At 41.0% G+C, this 22,885-nt stretch overlaps 1 protein-coding gene across 23 annotated transcripts in view; it reads right to left on the bottom strand.

The window, feature by feature from the left end:
• The window catches only part of YEATS2 (YEATS domain containing 2), a 114,828-nt gene that overhangs the window by 67,335 nt on the left and 24,608 nt on the right, over positions 1-22,885 (bottom strand). For 16 of the 23 annotated variants that reach the window (XM_047448527.1, XM_047448528.1, NM_001351370.2 and 13 more), the window contains 3 exons: positions 20,759-20,871; positions 16,439-16,600; positions 8,461-8,572 (listed from right to left, as the gene is read on the bottom strand). In XM_047448527.1, coding sequence (XP_047304483.1) covers positions 8,461-8,572; positions 16,439-16,600; positions 20,759-20,871 — 387 coding nt within the window. Of the gene's footprint in view, positions 1-2,344; positions 3,912-8,460; positions 8,573-16,438; positions 16,601-20,758; positions 20,872-22,885 lie in introns of those variants that run through there. The other 7 variants (XM_011512965.2, XM_047448531.1, XM_047448542.1 and 4 more) reach the window with 2 other exon arrangements.

Here is a 22,885-nt window from a genome sequence, read left to right as displayed (position 1 = left end):
AAGGGATAGCAGAAAGGTTCTGCGGTTTTAAGCAGACTGATCAGATACTGTTGTGTAGGATGCCCTATGAAGAAAGGAGATGGATTTTTAAAAGCCTATCAGGAGACAGCAAAATAGCAGCCTAGGAATAGTGGGCAGGGGCCAGGGCGCGGTGGCTCACGCCTATAATCCCAGCACTTTGGGAGGCCAAGGCAGATGGATCACTGGAGGCCAAGAGTTTGAGACCAGCCTGACCAACATGGTGAAACCCTCTCTTACTAAGAACACAAAAATTAGCTGGGCATGGTGGCGTGCACCTGTAGTCCCAGCTATTTGGGAGGCTGAGGCAGGAGAATCGCTTAAGCCCAGAAGGTAGAGGTTGCAGTGAGCCGAAACTGCGCCACTGCACTCCAGCCTGGGTGACAGAGTGAGATTCTGCCTCAAAACAAAAAACAAAAAAAAAGAATAGTGGGAAGGGCGGAGGACGGAATGTAAAAGAGATTATGAAGAAAGAATGATGGTCTGCAACTAAACAAATATTTAGAAGAGGGAAGAATCAAAGATGGCTCCAAGAGTTAACTAAAAAATGACAGGAAAAATACTACCGTACAAAGAAGGATCACAAGGCTACAACACAGGTGTTTAGGGTCTCAAGGCCAATACACAGCAAAACAATAAAATGATGTTTTCCAGAAAACTGGTAGGAAACATTTTATTGTCATTTTAAAACACTTGTCTCCAATAATCTTCCACCAAAAGCTCTAAGTAATATGTACAATGTAAGATGTGAAAAGTACGTAAAGAATTCCTTTTGTTTAGAGACTAGGTCTGAGCCCAGTGCAACATAAGGTAGTATGTGCTGTGTTAAAAATAAGATTAAAAGAAAGTAAAACTGGCCAGGCGCAGTGGCTCACGCCTGTAATCCCAGCACTTTGGGAGGCCAAGGTGGGTGGATCACCTGAGGTCAGGAGTTTGAGACCAGCCTAGCCAACATGATGAAACCCCGTCTCTACTAAAAATACAAAAAAAAATTAGCCGTGCGTGGTGGCGGGCACCTGTAATCTCAGCTAACTGGGAGGGTGAGGCAGAAGAATCGCTTGAACCTGGGAGGCGGAGGTTGCAGTGAGCTGAGATTGCACCACTTCCCTCCAGCCTGGGCAACAGACCGAGATTCTGTCTCAAAAAAAAAAAAAAAAAAAAAAAAAAAAGCAAAACTAAAAGACTTTCCTCTAAGTAACAGGACAGTACTCTGCCCCTTAATAAAGTGGCTGTGTGCCCTTTTATTTGGTTCCAGTGCTTCTCTGAGGTCATAAGGCAACCTAGTCTTATGGTAATCTTTGGAAAATAACTTAAGCCGCAGGTTAAGCAGTCCCACCTATCACCAATGGAAGAGAAATTTCAGCATGGCTTAAGCTTGAAAGAGGTCCATTTGTAGAAGAAAGGGAATGAAAAAGGAATTCTACAGATATACTCAGCTTCAGTTAGCCCAGTTTTGGAAGCCATTAGTGGGAACAATGTGATAAACCACAAAGTAAGGGTGCTTTGGAGATGTACAGTATCAGGATTATGTCACATGTAGAGAAAATGTACACAAAACTATAATACTATAAAAAGGGTCTAAGGGAACACTAAGAAATGGTCTTTCCATTATAAAAATTGAATATGGGCCAGGCAAGGTGGTTCACGCCTCTAATGCCAGCACTTTGGGAGGCTGAGGAGGGTAGATTGTTTTAGTCCAGGAGTTTGAGACCAGCCTGGGCAACACAGTGGAAAAAAAACTCCATCTCTACAAAAAATAAAAAAATTAACTGAGTGTAGTGGCATGCGCTTGTGGTCCAGCTACCTGGGACGCTGAGATAAGAGGATCACCTGAGCCGGGGGAGGTCAAGGATGCAGTGAGCCGTGATCACGCCACCACACTCTAGCCTGGGCAACAGTGAGACTCTGTCTCAAAAAAATAAAAAATAAACGTTTATTTATATAAAATTGCAAAAATATTTGAGAAAACCAACCAAAAACAGGGCATGAGAAATAGTTCACAATGTCATTATTTCAGTTGCTCCAACTTTTTGGTATATTTCTTTTGTTTTATTTTTCTACCTTTCAAAGATCGTGGTTGACTTCATGTACATACAGTTTTATACAAACATACCTCAGAGATAATTGCAGATTCAATTCTAGACTACTGCAATGAAGTGAATACTGCAATAAAGCAACTCACAATGAATCTGTTTCCCAGTGCTTATAAAAATTATGTTTATACTATGCTGTCATCTATTAAGTATGTAACAGCATTATGTTTAACAAAATAATCTACATAACTTAATTTAAAAATACTTTCTTGCTAAAAAGTGCTAATGATCACCTTGAGCCTTGAGTGAACTGTAATCTCTTTGTTGGTGGAGGGTCTTGCCTTGATGCTGATGGCTGTTTGTTGAAGGTTTGGGTGGCTACGGCAATTTCTTAAAACAAGACAACAATGAATTCTGCTGCCTCGACTGACTTCCTTTTATGAAAGATTTCTCTGTAGCATTCAATGCTGTTTGACAGTGTTTTATCCACAAGAGAAGTTCTTTCAAAATTGGAGTCAATCTTCTCAAACCCTGTAGCTGCTTTATTAAGTAAGTTTATGTAATATTCTAAATCCTTTGTTGTCAATTTCAACAGTGTTCACAGCATCATCACCAGGAGTGGATGCCATCTCAAGAAGCCACTTACTTTGCTTATCCGTAAGAAGCAAATCCTCATGCATTAAGGTTTAATCATAAAACTGCAGCAATTCAGTCACACTGTCAGGCTCTACTTCTAATTCTTGTACTCCTGCTATTTCCACCATACCTGCAGCTAATTCCTCCGCTGAAGTCTTGAACTTAAGTCATCCACGAAGGTTGGAATCAACTTCTTCCAAACTCCTGTTAATGTTGCTACTCTGACCTCCTCTCATGAATCACAAATGTTCTCAATGGCATCTAGAATGGTTAGTCCTTTCCAGAAGGCTTTCAATTTACTTTGACCAAATCCATCTGATAAATCACTATTTATGGCATCCATAGCCTTACAAAATATATTTTTTTCCTTTTTTTTATTTTTTATTTTTTGACATGGGGCTTGCTCTCTCACCCAAGCTGGAGGGCAGTGGCTTGATCGTGGCTCACAGCAGCCTCAACCTCCTGGGACCATGAAGCTGATTCTCCTACCTCAGCCTCCCAAGTAGCTGGGTCTACAGGCAAGCGCCACCATGTCCAGCTAATTTTTTTTTTTTTTTGTAGAGATGAGGTCTTATTATGTTGCCCAGGCTGGTCTCAAACTCCTGGGCTCACACAATCCTTCCTCCTTGGCCTCCCAAAGGGCTGGGATTACAGGCATGAGCCACTGTGCCTGGCCACAAAATATATTTCTTAAAACAGTAAGACTTGAATGTTGAAATTACTCCTTGATCTCACAGATGCAGAATGGATATTGTGTTAGCAGGCATGAATACAACATTAATCTCCTTATACATCTCCATCAAAGCTCTTTTTTTTCTTTTTGAGATGGAGTCTCGCTCTGTCACCAGGCTGGAGTGCAGTGGCGCGATCTTGGCTCACTGCAAACTTCGCCTCCTGGGTTCAAGTGATTCTCCTGCCTCAGCCTCCCTAGTAGCTGGGACTACAGGTGTGACCCACCACGCCCAGCTACTTTTTGTATTTTTAGTAGAGACGGGGTTTTGCCACGTTGGCCAGGCTGGTCTCAAACTCCTGGCCTCAAGTGATCCACTCGCCTCGGCCTCCCAAAGTGCTGGGATTACAGACATAAGCCACCATGCCTGGCCTCTCATCAGAGCTCTTAAGTGACCAGGTGAATTATCAATGAGCAACAATATTTTGAAAGGAATCCTTTTCTCTGAGCAGTTGGTCTCAACAGTGGGCTTAAAATTTTCAGTAAACCATGCTATAAACAGATGTGTTGTCACCCAGGCTTTTTTGTTCCATTTATAAAGCAGAGGCAGAGTAGATTTAGCATCATTATTAAGGGCCCTAGGATTTACTGGATGGTAAATAAGCGCTGGTTTCAATTTAAAGTTACCAGCTGTGGCCAAGCACAGTGGCTCATGCCTGTAATTCCAGCACTTTGGGAGGCTGAGGCGGGTGGATCACTTGAGTTCAGGAGTTTGAGACCAGCCAGGACAACACGGTGAAACCCTATTTCTACTAAAAATACAAAAATTATCCGCGCGTGGTGGCAGGGGTCTGTAATCCTAGCTACTTGGGAGGCTGAGGTGGGAGGATTGCTTGAACCCAGGATACAAAGGTTGCAGTGAGCCGAGATCACGCCACTATACTTCAGCGTGGGTCACAGACCAAGACTCTATCTCAAAAAAATAAAAATAAAAATAAATAAAGTCACCAGCCCCTAACAAGAAGTCAATCCTATGTTCTGAAGCCAGGCATTGACTTCTCCTCTCTAGCTATGAAAGTCCTAGATGGCATCTTCTTCCAACAGAAGCCTGTTTCACCTACAGTGAAAATATGTTGTTTGGTGTAGCCACCTTCATCAATGATCTTAGCTGGATCTTCTGGATAACTTGCTGCAGCTTCTCCATCAGCACTTGCTGCTTCACCTTGCAACTGTATGTTATGGAGACGGCATCCTTCCTTAAACCTCACGAACCAACATCTGCTAGCTTCATACTTTTCCTCTGAAGCTTCCTCACCCCTCTCAGTCTTGACAGAATTGAAGAGCTAGGGCCTTGCCCTAGAATAGCATTTGGCTTAAGGGAATGTTATGGCTGGTATGATCTTCTATACAGATCACTGAGACTTTCTCCAAATCAGCAAGAAGGCTGTTTTGCTTTCTTATCATTTGTGTGTTCACTGGAGTAGCACTTTTAATTTCCTTTAAGAACTTTTCCTGGTGTGAGATGATATCTCATAGTGGTTTTGATTTGCATTTCTCTGATGACCAGTGATGATGAACATTTTTTCATGTGTTTTTTGGCTGCATAAATGTCTTCTTTTGAGAAGTGTCTGTTCATGTCCTTCGCCCACTTTTTGATGGGGTTGTTTGTTTTTTTCTTGTAAATTTGAGTTCATTGTAGATTCTGGATATTAGCCCTTTGTCAGATGAGTAGGTTGTGAAAATTTTCTCCCATGTTGTAGGTTGCCTGTTCACTCTGATGGTAGTTTCTTTTGCTGTGCAGAAGCTCTTTAGTTTAATTAGATCCCATTTGTCAATTTTGGCTTTTGTTGCCATTGCTTTTGGTGTTTTGGACATGAAGTCCTTGCCCACGCCTATGTCCTGAATGGTAATGCCTAGGTTTTCTTCTAGGGTTTTTATGGTTTTAGGTCTAACGTTTAAATCTTTAATCCATCTTGAATTGATTTTTGTATAAGGTGTAAGGAAGGGATCCAGTTTCAGCTTTCTACATATGGCTAGCCAGTTTTCCCAGCACCATTTATTAAATAGGGAATCCTTTCCCCATTGCTTGTTTTTCTCAGGTTTGTCAAAGATCAGATAGTTCTAGGTATGCGGCGTTATTTCTGAGGGCTCTGTTCTGTTCCATTGATCTATATCTCTGTTTTGGTACCAGTACCATGCTGTTTTGGTTACTGTAGCCTTGTAGTATAGTTTGAAGTCAGGTAGTGTGATGCCTCCAGCTTTGTTCTTTTGGCTTAGGATTGACTTGGCGATGCGGGCTCTTTTTTGGTTCCATATGAACTTTAAAGTAGTTTTTTCCAATTCTGTGAAGAAAGTCATTGGTAGCTTGATGGGGATGGCATTGAATCTGTAAATTACCTTGGGCAGTATGGCCATTTTCACGATATTGATTCTTCCTACCCATGAGCATGGAATGTTCTTCCATTTGTTTGTATCCTCTTTTATTTCCTTGAGCAGTGGTTTGTAGTTCTCCTTGAAGAGGTCCTTCACATCCCTTGTAAGTTGGATTCCTAGGTATTTTATTCTCTTTGAAGCAATTGTGAATGGGAGTTCACTCATGATTTGGCTCTCTGTCTGTTGTTGGTGTATAAGAATGCTTGTGATTTTTGTACACTGATTTTGTATCCTGAGACTTTGCTGAAGTTGCTTATCAGCTTAAGGAGATTTTGGGCTGAGACGATGGGGTTTTCTAGATAAACAATCATGTCGTCTGCAAACAGGGACAATTTGACTTCCTCTTTTCCTAATCAGAGAAATGCAAATCAAAACCACTATGAGATATCATCTCACACCAGTTAGAATGGCAATCATTAAAAAGTCAGGAAACAACAGGTGCTGGAGAGGATGTGGAGAAATAGGAACACTTTTACACTGTTGGTGGGACTGTAAACTAGTTCAACCATTGTGGAAGTCAGTGTGGCGATTCCTCAGGGATCTAGAACTAGAAATACCATTTGACCCAGCCATCCCATTACTGGGTATATACCCAAAGGACTATAAATCATGCTCCTATAAAGACACATGCACACGTATGTTTATTGCGGCATTATTCACAATAGCAAAGACTTGGAACCAACCCAAATGTCCAACAATGATAGACTGGATTAAGAAAATGTGGCACATATACACCATGGAATACTATGCAGCCATAAAAAATGATGAGTTCATATCCTTTGTAGGGACATGGATGAAATTGGAAATCATCATTCTCAGTAAACTATCACAAGAACAAAAAACCAAACACCGTATATTCTCACTCATAGGTGGGAATTGAACAATGAGATCACCTGGACACATGAAGGGGAATACCACACTCTGGGGACTGTGGTGGGGTGGGGGGAGGGGGGAGGGATAGCATTGGGAGATATACCTAAGGCTAGATGACGAGTTAGTGGGTGCAGCGCACCAGTATGGCACATGTATACATATGTAACTAACCTGCACAATGTGCACATGTACTCTAAAACTTAAAGTATTAAAAAAAAAAAAAAAAAAAAAAAAAGAACTTTTCCTTTGCATTTACAACTTGGCTGTTTGGCACAGAGGCCTCGCTTTTAGCCTATCTTGGCTTTCAACATGCTTTTTTCACTAAGCTTAATCCTTTCTAGCTTTTAATTTAAGGTGAGAGATGTGTGACTCTTCCTTCTACTTCAACACTTGGAAACTATTATAAGGTTATTAATTGGCCTAATTTCAATATTGTTGTTCTCAGAGGATAGGAAGGCCCCAAAAGAGGGAATGAGATGGGGAATGACTGGTTGCTGGAACAGTCAGAATCCACAAAACACTGATCAATTACTTTCATCCTCCTATGAGCATGGTTTGTCGTGCCCCAAAATAATAGTAACATCAAAGACCACTGATCACAGGATCATCAAAACAGATTTAATAAAAAAAAAAGTTTGAAATATTTCAGGAATTACCAAAATGTGACAGAGAGACAAAAATGAGCACATGATGTTGGAAAAATGGTACTCACAGAGTTGTCTGACAGAGGGTTGCCACAAATCTTCAATTTTTTTAAAAATCAAGTATCTACTGAGAGCAATAAGCAAAGTGCAATGAAACAAAGTATGCCTGTACTCTGTGTTTCACTTCTTATAAGGGCAGTTCTCCCCGTGGAAAGACAACACTTCATAAGATATAATTTACAATGGCTGCACCATAAACCACATGGCTACATTTATCATTAAAGGATTTCTTACAATACAAAAGCATTATAATCTTGTATAGTACTTTATCATTTCCAAAACACGTTCATTTCTGTCTTTACAGACAAACATTATTATTTGCCCCACTTTATAGAAAAGTAAACAGATTTAAAAAAGATTTCAGTAACTTAGCCCCAAGAAACACATTGATGGTGAGGTCTGATCAAAGATTCATGTGTTCTGATTATCTGACCACTTTGTTCATCTTTTTAAAGGATATGCATTGTCCTCTAAAGTGATTCTCTCTCTCTCTGATGGTTGCATCAGAGGACAAAGTAGTGTTGTAGCAGTAAGCATAAACATACTCAGAAATAGTATCTCTTCCCCCCACTATTCTTAGCCACTTCTTGCAGAAGACCTAACACTCCCACTTTGAATACAGCTGACCTTTGAACATGGGTTTGAACTGCACAGATCTGCTTATACACGGATTTTCTTCCACCTCTGCCACCTGAGGCAGCAAGACCAATCCCTCCTCTTCCTCAGCCTACTCAATGTGAAGATGGCGAGGATAAAGATCTTTAGGATGATCCACTTCCATTTAATGAATAATAAATATATTTTCTATTCCTTATAATTTTCTTAATAACAGTTCTTTTCTCCAGCTTACTTTATTGTAAGAATATAGTCCATAATATATATAAGATACAAAATATGTGTTAATTGACTGTTTACATTATTCGTAAGGCTTGCAGTCAACAGTAGGCTATTAATAGTTAAGTTTTGGGGGAGTCGAAAGTTGTATGTGAATTTTTTAATGCGAGGGGGTCCTTAACCGCCATGCTATTCAAGGATCAATTGTAGCTGGTAAAAAGAGACTTCAAAACTAGGGAGCAATGTTTTGTTACAATACCTTCAGATTATGTATGATATCTATCCGCTTGTTCTGGCTGTCCTTAAAATGAACTTGAACTCTGACGGGAAACTCACCCCAGCCTCTTCTGGTCAGGTGAAAAGGAGGCTCTCTATGGAAAAGCAGATATTAACACGTTCATCCATGTTCACTCTCTCATCCTACACAGGAAAAGTTTCCTGATAATGCATAAATCAGAAATTCACTGTCTTCTGAGAATCATTTAGATTTCCTCGTTTAAAACTAAATCAACATGCCGAATTTTGCTAAAATGATAAATTTTAAAAGAAAAAACTCAACTCAAACCTCTATTAAACTTTCAATTATTGAACGCTAACAGCTAGAGTAAACTTAGACCATATAATCCAATGTCATTTTCACAGACGAGGGAACTAGGTTGATCTGATGAATGTCACTAGAGAGCGAGGATCTTTAATTGGCATTTGACAGATACAGGCCATGAGGTATGCTCCCTACCCTAAACCCTTGTATTTATTCCTCCACTGAGGCAGAAACAAAATGAATCATGAACATGCTCAACTGAGACAATTTATTTGAAACTCTCTGCTAAGAAGACTTAAAGAAAGATCATATGTTCACAATATGACCTTCCCTGAATAGTGACTATGACTGATTTTAGTGGGCAGAAAGGAATGTGTGTGCATGCTAACTGGATTGGAGAATTCTCAGCACAATGTAATTTGTGAAGGAAGAAAAAAGGAGGGGCGGGAATTGATGGAAAAGAGCAAATTGTTAATAACTGGTGATGGGCACATGAGGGTTCATTATGTTCTTTACTTCCATATATGTCTGAAATTTTCCATAATAAAAAAATTTAGAAATTTAATTGATATATCATTAAGTACTCAAAACAATATGGTTTAAGTGCATAGGGAAGAGAGAGAATGCTTTTAAAATGAAAACATTTGTTATGAATACTGGCTTAGAATTAGTAATGAGAGAAGATATCAAAATTACAAGGAGGCTGGGTGCGGTGGCTCATGCCTGTAATCCCAGCACTTTGAGAGGCCACGACAATCGCTTGAACCCGGGGGGCGGAGGCAGCAGTGAGCTGAGATCACACCACTGCACTCCAGCCTGAGACAGAGCAAGACTCCATCTCAAAAAAAAAAGAAAATGACAAGGAGAAAGAAACTCAACAGACAGTGTTTTTGGAAAACTGAATTGAGTGAGTGCAGAGTTCAAGAACACGACCTGAAAAGAGTGTAACAGATGTGAATTAACGAGCACAGAGCCAGCAGCTAACAACGGAGCCCAGGACAGGAAAAATCCCTGAGATATGAGGGGAGCCTAGAAAGCAGAGAAATTAATAAATACCTTATAAACCAAAGAGAAAAGAAAGCAAAGAAAACTAGAGTGCCCTGGATGGAAGAAATCAGCTGCAAAGGAGCTAAGAGAAGCAGCTGTGACGTTGGTATAGATTCACACTTGGGGTCAAAGGAGAAGGCAGACTTAGTCTGAAACGGGACCCACAGCCAGAGATACAGTGGAGCCTAGAGGCATGGTGGACTTGAGTCAATTAATGGAAATTCTACTGATGTGAAGTTTGGTCATTTAAATTCCAGTAAAGCTAAATGGTAAGTCTAAATTCATTTGCAATATGCCTCAATCACACTGAATGCTGAACTTCTCTCACAATGACTATGATAAATTAGGTATGTTTCTCAATTTATGTACATGGCCTAACCTTTAGTGAATAGACAGGAAAGACTGCTGCCAGAGAAGACAGACAAACAGCACAAAGTCAGGAAAAATGAACAATGCTTTTTAACAGGAAATTCCTCCATAACCATATTTTTAGAAGCAAAAAAAGAATCTAAGACCTACAACAACACTATTTATGGAAATGGTATACTTCAAAAGACGTTACTTCACACAATAAAGGACTGCCTCCCCCGAACAAACTTCAATACTTCTAGATTCCTCATAGAAGGTGAAATAAACCATTGACACCAAGAGGGAAAAACCATAAGACTATGGGGATTAAACAAAAATGGCTTTATTAGAAACACAGAATGGAGTACAGCTCCCTGCTCGACTAATTTATTCATATGGCCAATCATTCTTTTAGCATCACTCTGAGTGACCCTGAACTCACCACTGCATGAGACCCTGTGTTACATTTCTGAACAGCTCTATTACAAAATGACTTCTTCTACCTCCTGCATGTTAATTCTAGATATGCCATTTGGAATCACAAGGAGTAAATTCTTCCTCCACATGAAAGCCCTTTAAAAGAACCAAAGCATTCCCTCAAGTCTTTTCGGAATGAACATCTCTGTTCCTCACAACAGCAGTAGCAGCAAACACTGCATTCCTACGTTTCACTGTTTGCTATGACCCAATCAGTGTTCTAAGCCCTTTAGAACTATTAACTTACCTAATCCTTACAACCACTCTATGAAATAGCCCCTCTGAGACACAGTGAGGCTGAACAACTAACTTGCCAAGGTCACACAGCAAATAAGCAACGGAACCAGAATTCAAACTCAAGCAATAGGCTCCAGGGCCATGCTTTAGCCACTGTGTGCTAGTCCATGTCCCCAAGGTGACAGACCTCAGTTCCCAGACCACTCTCCCCAGTACGCACAGTAATATGACTGGGCATTGTCCGACTGTGCAGGGCATGGAATGTCAAATCACTTCTTCTGGGTACTTACTTCTCTAATGTGGCTACTCGAAAATTTCAAATTACAGATGTGGCTCACAGTATATTTCTATTGGACAATGCTGCTCTAGAGAGTTCTACATTTGAGTGAAATAAAACAGATACGAAGGTTTGGAAGAGGCTCACTAGGATTCCTCTGGCGAGCTGGCCCGCTCCAGTTTCACACACACCAAGGGCAGGAAGACCTTTTTGGTTTCCCAAAGCCAAGGCCCCGTGCTCATCTTCACAGTCCCTTTATCACGCCCTGAGCCTAGCACATATCTAGTCACCACTATCTTGTACCTAAAAAAAAAAAGCAAAGTTCACAATCACGGCTTTTAGGAAGTTGGCTAAGGGTCGTCCTGACAACTGAACAAACGTGGAAGAAAGTGCTTCAACAAGAGCAGCATCCACCCACCTCTTTGTCAGGTAATGTGCTGTGATGAAGAGATTCAGGGTGTGTAAGAAAAACATTTGTGCTTTGATCCAGAAATAAGATTAACCCCAAGTTTGAAGGCAGCCGCAAAAATCCTCCCTTATTCGTTAAATTACTTTAGATACCTAACACAACAAACATCTTAAGAGTCCTGCAAAGAACTAAGAGTTATAATTAAACCTAGGACATACGTTAATAGTCCTCACCTACTTTATATTGGTTACACCATACCTGGAGTTTTAGGTTCAGTTCTAAAAAGGTTATTTTAAAAGGAATATAGATAAACTGGAGTATACCAAAGAATACAACCTGAATGGCAAAGGAACATAAAACAAAGTCACACAAGTGACAACTGAAACAAATATGGATGAGACCCAATAACTGCTTTCAAGTATCTAAACAACTGTACAAAGAAAAGGGATTATGATGATTCTGAGTGGTACATAAAGCATATGAAAAGCTTACTGTTTAGAAGTTAGAGGAAGTTAGATCTCTGCTCAATATAATTAAAAACTTCCAAACAAAACCAGCCACCTCCAAATGGAATGGCCCATTTCATGAATTCAATAATTCACTCAGTATCAAACATGAAATGAGGCTGGGTACAAGGCTCACGCCTGTAATCCCAGCACTTTAGGAAGCCAAGGCGGGAGGACTGCTTGAGGCCAGGAGTTCGAGACCAGCCTGGATAAAAAAATTAGCTGGACATAGGTGGCACACGCCTATAGTCCTAGCTACCCAGGAGGCTAAAGTAGGAGGACAGTTCGAGCCCAGGAGTTCGAGGCTGCAGTGAGCTATAATCATGGCACTCTTCTCCCACCTGGGTGCCAGAGCAAGACTCTTATCTCTAAAAAAATAAACAAAATTGGCCGGGTGCAGTGGCTCACGCCTGTAATCCCAGCACTTTGGGAGGCCGAGGTGGGCAGATCATGAGGTCAGGAGATCGAGACCATCGTGGCTAATAAGTGAAACCCCATCTCTACTAAAAATACAAAAACGTTAGCCGGGAGTGGTGGCGGGCGCCTGTAGTCCCAGTTACTCAGGAGGCTGAGGCAGGAGAACGGCGTGAACCCGGGAGGCGGAGCTTGCAGTGAGCCAAGACTGCGCCACTGCACTCCAGCCTGGGCAGCAGAGCGAGACTCTGTCTCAAAAAACATAAAAATAAAAATAAAAAATAAAATTTTAAAAAACACAAAATGAGCATTTACTACATGCTAGGAACTATGATAGACCCTGGGGATATTTATTTATTTATTTTTTATTTATTTATTTTGAGACAGAGTCTTGCTCTGTCACCTAGGCTGGAGTGCAGTGGCATGATCTTGGCTCACCGCAACCTGTGCCTCCCGGGTTCAAGCAACTCTCCTGCCTCAGCCTCTCGAGTAGCTGGGACTACAGGCACACGCCACCGGGCATGGCTAATTTTTTTTTGTATTTTTAGTAGAGACAAGGTTTCACCATGTTGGCAAGGCTGGTCTCAAACGCCTGATCTCGTGATCCACCTGCCTCAGTCTCCCAAAGTGCTGGGATTACAGGCTTGAGCCACGGTGCCCAGCCGACCCTGGGGATATTAAGACAAGATAAGGTCCTAAACATCGAGAAGTTCTAAATCTGGTGAGACATACATGTAAATGAGTAAGTGCAGTAATAGACTTATATACATTTCCTGCTATTAAAAAAAAAACAGCGCTATGGTTGATCACAGCATATGATTTCTCCAGGAATTTTAAAAACCAGAAGCACGTAACCAATAATCTCTTTTAAAATACTATTTACAAATCCTAACATTGTTGTTAATAAAGTTTGGTTTGCTATGGGAAAAGTATGTGGTAAAGGTGTGTGCCGCCAGGCTGTGAACAGCTAACTGCTCAGGCGTGGCACAGCAGACCATCTTTGCAACACTGTCAGAGTGGCACAGATCAGGCTGAAAACAAGACACAGGCTATTTCGATGACGTCAAACCTCATACAGGTAATGAAACAAAGTTCATTTACTATTAGCAGAAAACACTCCAGATGTCCAGGATGAAAGAGAAACTGGATAAGGAGCTGCAGCACAATCCTTTCTTTGGATTTTCTCACTGTTATAATATATCTTGATAAGTGACTTGCCACACCTCTGCCCACAGATTAGTAAAGACTTCTTAGCAAATAAATCTCATAAATTACTGCAGGAATAGTCTTTGCAATTTAAAAGAAATAATGTGTTTTACAAATTCTCATTTATGGTATGAGAACAGAGAAATAAAACAGGCACTTGTGTTGCATTTTTAAGTATTTTATGTAATTAGTTTTTAATCCCATCCTTTTGGGTATATGAGATTTCTATCATCAATAAAAATATAATTAATACACAAGAAGAAAAACATACTGTACCTACCTACAAAAATCTTATTTCCAAATATTCCGCTTTTTTTTTTTTTTTTTTTGAGACAGACTCTCACTCTGCCTCCAGGCTGGAGTGCAGTGGCACGATCTTGGCTCACTGCAACCTTTGACTCCCTGGTTCAAGCCATTCTCCTGCCTCAGCCTCCTGAGTAGCTAGGATTACAGGCACGAGCCACCACACCCAGCTAATTTTTGTATTTTTAGTAGAGATGGGTTTCACCATGTTGGCCAGGATGGTCTCGATCTCCTGACCTCGTGATCCGCCCGCCTCAGCCTCCGAAAGTGCTGGAATTACAGGCCTGAGCCACCGCGCCCAGCCTATTCCACTTTCTGACCACCAACCCTTATCTTTCCAGTTTCACCCCAATCCAACTATTCTTTGACTTCACGGAGACTTCTATTTCTTGCCCACAAAACTTTTCACCAGCCATCACTGCTCTTATATACGTATATTCTCTCCTTACTCAGCTTACAGTCTATGATATATCACTACAATAACCTAAGCATCAAAGTGAAGAAATCAAAGAACCAAGAGACCAGGGTTTTGGATGAACTGTCTATATGGATGTTAAGAATGACAGCAAGAGTTATGGTAGAGAGAAAATCAGTAAACCAGGTGCTGAAACCTTTCCCCCTTTTCCAAAAAGCCTCAACTCCTTTGAGGCTGCTGCTTGTCCTCTGTTGCAATTATCTACTAATTTCCCCAGTCACCCTTGGCAGGGAAAGGTGGTCTGGAAGCCATAAATGTGATCAAGGAAGACATCCACCCCACCCCCAGGCCCAGTGGTATGTGGCAGCAAAAAAAACAGCCACCATCGCTTGAAAGGGTTAAAGAAGCAGCAGAGTTCTCAGGAGGCAGCCATGTTTTGTTTAAGAGTCGGGGGTGAAGAAAGGCTCTGAACAGAGCAGAGAATAGAGATTTCACTGATAATAACCAACAACCACTTCCACAGTGCATTTATACAATCAATATGGGCCGGACATGGTAGCTCATGCCTATAATCTCAGCACTTTGGGAGGCCAAGGCGGGCAGGGGGCTTGAGCTCAGGAGTTCAAGACCAGCCTGGCCAACATGGCAAAACCCCGTCTCTACAAAATATACAAAAATTAGCTGGGCATGGTGGCGTGCACCTGTAATCACAGCTGCTTGGGAGGCTGAAGCATGAGAACTGCTTGAACCTGGGGGGTGGAGGTTGCAGTGAGCCAAGATCGTGCCACTGCACTCCAGCATGGACGACAGGATGTGTCTCCAAAAAAAAAAAAAAAAAAAAAAAAAAAAAAAAAAACAAACAAAAAACCACACAATTAATATATATGTGTGTAACATCATATAAAGATGTAAAGAATAAGGCCGGGCATGGTGACTCACACCTGTAATCCCAGCACTTTGGGTGGCCAAGGCGGGCAGATCACCTGAGGTCAGGAGTTCGAGACCAGCCTGGCCAACATGGTGAAAGCCCGTCTCTACTAAAAATACAAAAAAATTAGCCGGGTGTGGTGGCGGGCACCTGTAATCCCAGCTACTTGGGAGGCTGAGGCAGAAGAATCGCTTGAACCTGAAGCAGAGGTTGAACCTGAAGCAGAGGTTGCAGTGAGCCAACAGCACACCACTGCACTCTAGCCTGTGTGACAAGAGTGAAACTCCGTCTCAAAAAAAAAAAATGTAAAGAACACACCTAAATGGTACAAGCAAATTTCACAACAATATATATAATCATTCCATCTTGGTGAAATAATCACAAGAAACAACTATACTATATTCAAATATGTACAGAAGAAATATGATTGGGAGTTACTTCTAAGAGAGTGAGATCATGGGAAACTTTCAACATTAAATAGTCTACCATGTTAGAATACTATATTTAATTCTGTTACATTCTGATATTCATAAAAAGAAGTAACATTTTCATATGCATCTGTATCTATATAAACAAGTTTAGCTGTTTCCAGAGGGGAGCAAAACCAGTTAATATAATTAGTGTGGTAACAATTGGATAGAAGACAATGCCTGCTCAGTGAGACAGTAATCTGAGAGAGTGAACTACAACTACCTTTTTTTTTTTTTTTGAGACAGAGTCTCGCTCTGTCGCCCAGGCTGGAGTGCAGTGGCGCGATCTCAGCTCACTGCAAGCTCCGCCTCCCTGGTTCACGCCATTCTCCTGCCTCAGCCTCCCTAGTGGCTGGGACTACAGGCGCCCGCCACCACGCCCAGCTAATTTTTTGTATCTTTAGTGGAGACCGGGTTTCACCGTGTTAGCCAGGATGGTCTCAATCTCCTGACCTCATGATCCGCCTGCCTTGGCCTCCCAAAGTGCTTGGATTATAGGTGTGAGCCACCCCACCCGGCCTCCAACTACATTTTGACTAAGAGCCAATTCTCAATTACTACTGCATTTCCAGGAAATGTTTTGAAGTTAAATCACTTTTCTTCCACTTCAAAAATAAGTCTGCATTTCAATTTAGGTTAAATACCTCAAGCGTGCTTACCTAACTTCCACAAGGTCATTTGGTTTATAGCTAGGATGAAGGAAGAACCAAACCTTCTTGACAAAATGATTAATGCTGGGTTCTCTACGGGACCCTCGGACATATACCATCCACTTATGAGTTGACTGGTCATTTTCTTCCCTCTTATCCGGAGGTATATACCTAGAGAAGAAGAAAAAAGAAACCTGAATTCTTTTCGTCCTTCAAAAACCTAACTAAATAATTAAGTCCTACTTAAACTTAAAAACAAGGTTAAAATTCCTGCAATATTTAACAACTACATCACCTAAACAAGCAAAATGAGTCTTTGCAAGTTAATCATTTTGTTTTTCTTTCTTTCTAAAACATAGCTGGGGCTGGATGCAGTGGCTGGCTCACACTGTAATGCCAGCACTTCAGGAGGCTGAAACGGGAGGACTGCTTGAGGTCAGGAGTTAGAGATCAGCCTGGGCAACATAGCAAGACCCCATCACCATGTTTAGCTATTTCCAGAGGGGAGCAAAATCAGCTAATATAGTGTGGTAACAATTGGATAGAAGAAGACAATGCCTGCTTAGTGAGACAGTAATCTCAAAGAGTGAACTACAACTACAATCATCCCACCTAAAATTTTAAACTCAGCTGGACATGGTGGCCCACACCTGTAGTCCCAGCTTGCTGGGAGGCTGATGAGGTGGGAGGACTGCCTGAGCCCAGGAGTTCGAAGCTAAAGTGAGCTACAATCACATCACTGTACTTCAGTCTAGGTGACAAAGCAAGACCCTACCTCAAAAAATTAAAATAAAATTAATGAACTAAAATAAAATAATAAAATAAATAAAACATGAATTTGGTTTAAGGGACATTCTGTTAAAAGTTTGTGTTGTTCTCCTTATTCGGTGTGCTATTTAAAAAAAAAAAGGCAAACTTGTTTTTCCTGCCAGATAAAGACATAAGGTGGAAATAAACTGGCATATTTTTATTCCTAGGTTAGGGAAGCTCTAGCCTTCGGGTTGATTTCATTCAGGTTTCAGGGTGCTAGAGCTTTGCGCCTTTCTGGTGACTCTCATGGTTGCCAAGAAGACTGCACCTAGTTTCCTGCCCTCTGAAAGCCAAAACGTGCCATTTCCCTTAAACCCTGATCATGGTAAAATTAGCATCTTTAGCGCTCCCCTTTATGGGCCCTGTCTTTATTTCAGTATGAGGCCCCCTTCTTAGATTCATGTAGAAAATATAGTCAGGCCTTCTATATGCTCATCTATGCCTAGTGCTAATCCTTAGTGATATGGGGGGGCCAAGTTGCCCAGCCTAGCTCTTGAGGAGTGTTCTTGACCAATCCTGGCCCTTTACTCTTCCAGCTCATGAAAGTCATGAACCCTGATGGGATTTTAACAGGAATACCTACAGATTGATTTGGGGAGAGATGACAACTTTACAAGACAGGTCGGCCCAGAAAAAGCCAGGCCTGGAAGTTCAGGCAGACCCACTAGGCCACAAGAAAATTGGGGCTAAACAATCATTTCATCTAAATTTTTCAATGTATTGGCATAAAGAAGTTAATAGTTTCTTATCTCTTTAATAGTACAGCATCTGTAGTTACGTCTTCTTTTGTATTTCTAATATTATTTGTGCCTTCTCTTTTTTTAATTTTTAAAATTAATTTCGCCAGGTTTGTGTATGTTATGTTTATTTTTTCCTTTCATACGTATATCAATGTATTCATCAATCAAATACTTACTAAATATATACTGTTAGGGTACAAAGCCAGACAAGGCCAGGCGTGGTGGCTCATGCCTGTAATCTCAGCACTTTTGGAGGCCAAGGCAGGTAGATCACCCAAATTCATGAGTTCAAGACCAGCCTGATCAACACAGTGAAACCCCATCTCTACTAAGAATACAAAATTATCCAGGTGTGGCGGTGCATGTCTGTAATCCCAACTACTTGTGAGGCTGACGCAGGAGAATCGCTTGAACCCTGGAGGTGGAGGGTACAGTGAGCTGAGATCGCGCCATTGCACTCCAACCTGGGCAACAAGAGTAAAACTCCGTCTTGGAAAAACAAAACAAAACAAAACCAGACAAGACATAGTTTCTACCCTCAAGAGATTCCAGTCTGATTTGAGAAAAATATACGAAAATAGAAAATGGCCACATAATATGATAAAAATCACAAAGAGATAGCATAGAGGGAATATGCCTAATGAGGGAGGGGATCAGCAAATAAAACTTCATGAGAAAATTAGTTTAAAACACTACCAGTTAGAATCCTAGCCAATCAATTTTCCTCCATCAAATTAATTTAATCCCTTCCATCTATTTACATCTTGGCCAAATATTTACTTAACATTTTTATGTTTTTAGAGGATTTATAACGTCCTAATCTACCCCTAGACACTTGGCAAAAATGATGAAGCTGCTCCAAGACAGCCTGAGATCATACTGTTCAAGTACATGGCTCTGGAGCTTGGAGGAATTCTGCCTTTAAGATCTGCTCAGCAACCTTTTGTTACAAACTAAAAACATCTCAGTTTGGGCAACCAAATCAACATTTTTAGGAATTCGCTAAGGCCCCTAAAGACAGAACTGGTTCAGAGTAGTCAAAAGTTCTTCCAAACTTACACACATTGACACAATTGGTGAAATATATTTGTGTAAGAGCTCATGTCTTAGAAATTTTTACCAAGCCCTATTTTATTCTCAGGGAAAGACTGACAGACACACTAACGCAGAGACTCCAATCTCTGGACCTTGGTTCACTTTTGAAGCAACAAAGAGCTTGAAAAAACATTCCCTGAGGCCTCCTCCTACTGTAACACCAGGATAATAAGAGTATTACGCCCAAGTATTAACACAAATGGGTGACCGAAAAGACTTATCTACTTTATTCTCATGTCCCAATGACTTGTTAGATACAAACCTCTCTGGTTTGCCTTAGAGTCCCAGAAAAAGACCTGAAGTAAGATTTTGAAGAAGAACAAAAAGTCAAAGGAACCCATCACACTTACATCCTCCCATTTCAAAACAGAAGAAAAGAACAGGAAATAGGTTTTCCAGGGAGAAGAATCTGGTTTCAGCTTTGGACGTGCCAATCACAAGTAAATGGCCGATATGGTTTGGCTGTGTCCCCACCCAAATCTCATCTTCAATTGTAGCTTGCAGAATTCCCACACGTCCTGGAAGGGACGCAGTGGGAGGTAATTGAATCATGGGGGTGAGTCTTTCCCATGCTGTTCTCGTGATAATAAATCAGTCTCATAAGATCTGACAGTTTTATAAGGGGTAGTTCTCCTACACAAGCTCTCTTGCCTGCCTCCACTTAAGACATGGCTTTGTTTCTCCCTTGCCTTCCGCCAGGATTGTGAGGCCTCCCTAGCCATGTGGCACTGTGAGTCAATCAAACCTCTTTCCTTTATAAATTACCCAGTCTCGAGTATGTCTATATTAGCAGTGTGAAAACAGACTAATACAATGGCAAATGCAGGAATGTAAATGGAGAGACAAAATGAAGATTTGAACATTCGAGCTGAGGGCAGTATCTGAGGATTTACCATTCTCTACTGGCTTTCAAATACCTAACAATTAGCATATTCTACAAACTGCACAAGCAAGGGTAGGGGTTATTATACTGCCTCTTCTCTAGCAATATTTTGGAACAAACATCTTCCCCTTATTTATCCTTTGTGGATACTGTGCAAGGCAAGGCAAAATGTCACAGTATAGAGGCAGTACAGAGAAAATAATATCCAAATGAAAAATAGGATACCTAGGTCCCCTGGCTATTTGTATAAAAAGACTAATAAAACGATAAAAAAAAAAAAAAAAAAAAAAAGGCCGGCACGGTGGCTCACACCTGTAATTCCAGCACTTTGAGAGGCCAAGGTGGATGGATCACCTGAGGTCGGGAGTTCAAGACCAGCCTGACCAACATGGAGAAACCCCGTCTCTACTAAAAATACAAAATTAGCCAGGCGTGGTGGCATATGCCTGCAATCCCAGCTACTCGGTAGGCTAAGGCAGGAGAATCGCTTGAACCCGGGCGGGGGGAGGTTGCGGTGAACCAAGATCATGCCATTGCATTCTGGTCTGGACAACAAGAGCGAAACTCTGTCTCAAAAAAAGGAAAAGAAAAATAGGAGACCTAGATTCAAATTCTGACTTTGCTCACTAAGGAGCAAAATTACCCTAATAAAGTCTCTAGACTGTGGTTTACTTTTTAAACAACTAAGGGCTTGGGAAAAAGAATCCCTGAGGCTGCTTCCTACTGTAACACTGTAAGAGTATTAATGCCAAAATATTAACACAAATGGACAAATAAAAATAAATTCAACTGGATACTCACTTGGACACATTGCCCACTACTATTGTTTTCTTTACAAAAAGTCGTGAAGTCTCATCTGTGAGATCAGCATTCCGCTGTTCTGTTTTATGGGAGCCAGTAATTCTAGAAGTATCCTGAAAAAAATCATAATCAACATCCATTCTCATTTTGAACAACTTTCAATAGGACAGAAACCACAAAATTGTAAAAAGTATAAATGGAATAACTAAGTTTTTTTAAAAAATTACAAAATTTTCTGGCTTTGTAGCACCTCTCAAAGCATTAAAAAAGTTACTATAAATGCTGCCTTAATTTATACAAAGTTTATATACTGTAACTCCCGGTGTGTTTTTAATAGTCACATACATCTGCTTTGAATATGCAAATAGGATTTGGAAGGATACACAAAAAACTATTACAGTGGTTACTTCTGGGAAACAGGAATAGAAAGAGAGAAAGGGGTCAATGGAATTTACCCTCTTTTTAACCTTTTATAATATTCAAAACTGTTCAATGAGAAATAAGTGCCTGGTACATAGTAAATGCTAAATGTTTGCTATATAAATACATATAGAAATGATCACATATTGTATAAAACATGTTAAGTTTCTATGACCATTATGCCCTAAATTCTATTTTTTGAGACAGAATCTCGCTCTGTCAACCAGGCTGGAATGCAATGGCACGATCTCGGCTCATTGCAATCTCCGCCTCCTGGGTTCAAGCGATTCTCCTGCCTCAGCCTCTCGAGTAGATGGGATTACAGGTACCCGCCACTAAGCCCAGGTAATTTTTGTATTTTTAGTAGAAATGGAGTTTCACCATGTTAGTCAGGCTGGTCTCAAACTCCTGACCTCTGGTGATCCCCCACTTGGGCTCCCAAAGTGCTGGGATTACAGGCGTGAGCCACCACGCCCAGCCTCCTAAATTCTTTTTAACTAAAAAAAAGAAAAACACATGTAATATTTGCTCAGGAATAATACTGGAAAGGTAAGGTAAATCCAAACAGTGAAGAGTTCTGATTTTGGGGGTGGCAGCCTCACGAATGAACTTTTCTATTCTTTTTTACTTTTCTGTATTTAACAATTTTCAAAAAATGAACACATATGAATTTATAATCTGAAAAATAAATACAAACATATTTTTATCAAAAATAAATCAAACCCTTGACATCTAAGTATGTGGAAAGTAACTTGGAAATTTTCTGTATCACAGTCAACACCTGGCTGAGAAAAATCGCTGCTCTAATCCAATAATGACTCTATAGCCAAATATTTTTCAAGAAGTTCAGAGTAGCTTGAGATGGGAGCTCAAATTACAAACTGGCATGATCAAAGAGCAATGTTTTTCAATTCTGTTTATTTGTCAAATTTCCTCCATCTACTAAAGTACTAAAGCATCTTAGAATATAAAGTCTCACAGAGGAAACCGTTGAAGAACGGCTGCTCTCGAGAGAATAAACACGACAGAGTTGAAAGACCTTGAGCAAGATCACGGAATTGCCGAGCTAGAAGGTTTCTTTCACACCTACGTAAACAGCATCCAGGAGCTGTGCTGTGCACAGAATCTCCAGGCTGTAAAATTAGAAACACTCAGGTTTAAGTCGGGCGCGGTGGCTCACGCCTGTAATCCCAGCACTTTGAGAGGCCGAGGCAGGCAGATCATGAAGTCAGGAGTTCGAGACCAGTCTGGCCAACAGGGTGAAACCTCGTCTCTACTAAAAATACAAAAAATTAGCCAGGCGTGGTAGCACATGCCTCTAATCCCAGCTACTTGGGAGGCTGAGACAGGAAAATAGCTTGAACCTGGGAGACAGAGGTGGCAATGAGCCGAGATTGCGCCACTGCACTCCAGCCTGGGTGATAAAGCGAGACTCCGTCTCAGAAAAAAAAAAGAAACACTTAGGTTTAATTCGCAGTTCTGACACTTTTGGGCAAGTAAAACCAAATCAAGATTTGGTTTCCCGCTGGGCGCAGTGGCTCACGCCTATAATCCCAGCACTTTGGGAGGCCGAGGCGGGAAGATCACGAGGTCAGGAGATCGAGACCATCCTGGCTAACACGGTGAAATCCCGTCTCTACTAAAAATATAAAAAAATTAGCCGGGCGTGGTGGCACACACCTGTGGTCTCAGCTACTCAGGAGGCTG

Source organism: Homo sapiens, chromosome 3, assembly GCF_000001405.40.
Source record: "Homo sapiens chromosome 3, GRCh38.p14 Primary Assembly".
Taxonomy (NCBI): Eukaryota; Metazoa; Chordata; class Mammalia; order Primates; family Hominidae; genus Homo; species Homo sapiens.
Note: the sequence above shows the minus strand (reverse complement) of the source record. Positions and strands in the feature narration are given on the sequence as shown.